Here is a 3093-nt window from a genome sequence, read left to right as displayed (position 1 = left end):
ATGTAAATGACGAGTTAATGGGTGCAGTGCACCAACATGGCACATGTATACATATGTAACAAACCTGCACGTTGTGCACATGTACCCTAGAACTTAAAGTATAATAAATATATATATATATGAAAGAAAGCAGTGATGTGATTAGAACCTTATGAGCCAGGATGGGAATAAAGACAGCCATGACTGAAGAGGCAGGAGCCAGACTATGTAGGACAGAGGATGGCAAACACTCTCTGTAAAGGGCCAGATAGCTCGTATTTTAGGCTTTGTCACACCGACTCTGTCACAGCTACTCAACTCTGCCCTTGTGGTACCAAAGCAGCCATAGATAATTCATCTTTAGATGCAGCCATAGATAAGTCATCTATAGATGGGGGTGATGGGGGTGTGCATGCTCCAATAAAACTTTATTTACAAAAAGTGGTGGGAGAGAGAAACAAAGGGCCATAATTTGTTAACCCTTGATTTAGACTGGTGAAGGCCTCGATGAGGAAGCTGGATGTTATTATCAGTGTGGGTTTTAAGCAGAGGAGTGATAGAGTCTGATTTATATTTTTAAAAGGATTGCTCTGTTCTATGGAGGATGGACTGGAAGGCAAGGGAGGAAGCAGGGACCTGGGAAAGAGGCTGGTGAAATAGTCCAGGGAGGGATGGCAGAACAGCAGAGGTGCTGAGAAGTGACCAGATCCTGATTATACACTGCATTAGAACCAGCAGGATTACAAATGAATTGAGTGTAGGGGATGAACGAAAGAGAGGAATCAAGAATGATTGCTGGTTTTTTGGCTCTAGCAGCTGGGTTGATGATGCCACATATACTGAAATGGGGAACACTAGGGGAGAGGTATATTTTAAGGGATAAAAAGCAATCTATCAATTTTGTCCTTGCTAAGTTCGAGCTGCCTAACGGACAGGCAGGTGATGATGGCCAGCAGGCAGTGGTGTTTGCACATCTAGAACTCAGCGAGAGATCCAGCTAGAGATAGAAATTTGGCAGTCGACCAGGTGCGGTGGCTCAAGCCTCTAATCCCAGCACTTTGGGAGGCCGAGGTGGGCAGATCACCTGAGGTCAGAGGTTTAAGACAAGGCTGGCCAACATAGTGAAACCCCATCTCTACTAAAAATACAAAACAATTATCCAGGAGTGGTGGCTGGCGCCTGTAATCCCAGCTACTCAGGAGGCTGAGGCACTAGAATTGCTTGAACCCGGGAGGCAGAGGCTGCAGTGAGTTGAGATCATGACACTGCACTCCAGCCTGAGTGATAGAGCAAGACAAAAAAAAAGGAGAGAGAGAAAGAAAGAAACAAGGGAAGGAAGGAAGGAAGGAAGGAAGGAAGGAAGGAAGGAAGGAAGGAAGAAAGAAAAGAAAAGAAAAGAAAAGAAAAGAAAAGAAAAGAAAAGAAAAGAAAAGAAAAGAAAAGGCAGGCAGAAATTTGAGAGTCATCAGAGTGCCAGGATGGGCATCCTCCAGTTTTCTCTAGGAAGGAGGAAATGAAGCCAGGAGGAACAAAGGTAGAATGCAGGTCCTTCCAGTACACTGAGGTGTGGTAGAGGCAGGGAGGACAGCAGAGGAGCCTGAGAAGGAACAGTCAGCAACCTGGGGACAAGCCAAGTGAGTGTGAGGGTCAAGGAATCACACCCGTTTCAAGAAGGAAGCCATGGGTGATTGCATCGAATGCTGCTGAGTGACTCAAGTAAGAGGAGGTTTCTGCATAGGACTCGCCAGAGGAGTCCCACAACTGTTGAACTGTCCAGGACATTTACAATATGATTCCGTTTCCAAAAATTCAAAACTGCAATTTACCCACAACTTCTTAGTAACACAAATCAGCTCAACATCTATTGAGTTGCTACTATGACTCACCTTTTTTGCTTAAAAATCCTTGGAACAAAGACAAGTTTGCAAAATGTCTTAAATCAAGCAGCCTACACTTAGAAGGAGAAAAGCCGGGTAATGATATTTTTAACTTGCAGGGGCTGTAGAGGTGATATGAAAAAAGAGCCGTTTTTTAATTTATATATAGCCAATCAGAATCAGACACGGTAGGGATCATAGAATTAATAACTCACAAAATCCACAGGTGATCTCTTTTAAGGCAATGATTTTCACCTCTTTCACCATTTAGATCCATCTTTAAATGTGAACTTCTCCTTCCTTTTCCCTGACAGCTTTAAGGAGGGGTTGATAATAGGAATTGAACTGGCCACAGGGCACCAGGCAAGGAATAAAGATCAGTGCACTTCTAGATGGTCATCGGTCTGGTTCTCTAGAGCGGCAGGAGGTACAGTCACAGTTCCCTGGTCAGGCTGGGCCGGCACCCACTAGGCATGCACCTGGCCCTGCTGAGGCAGCGATTCACATTTCCTGACTTGCATTCAAAAGGTTGTTCTTTCTGACCCAATTTGGTCATTGGCACAAGGGCGTCACCGCCTCTTGCCTCGTTCCCTTTCTCATTTCAGTCTCCTCCCTCCCCTGACACTGCTCCTTCTTCCTGCCCCAAGAAAAGCGGTTAGGTCTCCAGAGGCTGGATGGTGCGTAGTGAACAGAGTACCTGTTCTATGAAAAGAATTCTAAAGCTTTCCCCAGCTTCCACCTCAAACCGTGAGCTCTGCAAGCCCCGTCCCCCGGCCCCCCTCAACACACACACACCGCGCCCAGGGATCGATGAACTAAAAATAGCCGAGGCTTGTAAATGAACTGGAACCTTTTCTGCTGTGTTCTTAGCCCTTCACAGTCGTGGCAGGGACACAGGGAGGAGCACAAGCCAGAGCTGCTTATTTTTCCAGCCATGCCTGTTGGAGGCAAGCGCCCCCACCCCCTGCTGCTTGGTGGATTAATGATGGCATTTCCCCCCTCTAGCTTCCCATCTCCTGTGAAGTACAACTTGTCCTGTTCCGGGACGCCACTTGGCATTCCTCCTGGAGGAAGCGGATTTTGAGTTGCATTTCAAAAGAAATGTACTGTCACACTGGTGTGCTCTAAATTAGCGATCTCCCAGGGCAGTCAGGATAAGTCCCACTCCCTGCAGCTACAGTTCTCCCTGGAAACATTCCCTGCCTGGCATGGTGACCGTCTCCTCCCGTCTATCTTC

The 3093-nt window shown here is 46.7% G+C and overlaps 1 annotated feature.

The window, feature by feature from the left end:
- Positions 1803-2522: an enhancer, noted in NCBI's record as "H3K27ac-H3K4me1 hESC enhancer chr3:186131925-186132644 (GRCh37/hg19 assembly coordinates)". NCBI's record gives its function as "activates a minimal SCP1, AML or CMV promoter by ChIP-STARR-seq in primed H9 embryonic stem cells {active_cell/tissue: H9 hESC(primed)}" and the evidence as "EXISTENCE:reporter gene assay evidence [ECO:0000049][PMID:30033119]".

Source organism: Homo sapiens, chromosome 3, assembly GCF_000001405.40.
Source record: "Homo sapiens chromosome 3, GRCh38.p14 Primary Assembly".
Classification (NCBI taxonomy): Eukaryota; Metazoa; Chordata; class Mammalia; order Primates; family Hominidae; genus Homo; species Homo sapiens.
The sequence above is the reverse complement of the archived record's forward strand: the minus strand, read 5'-3'. Positions and strand labels throughout refer to the sequence as shown.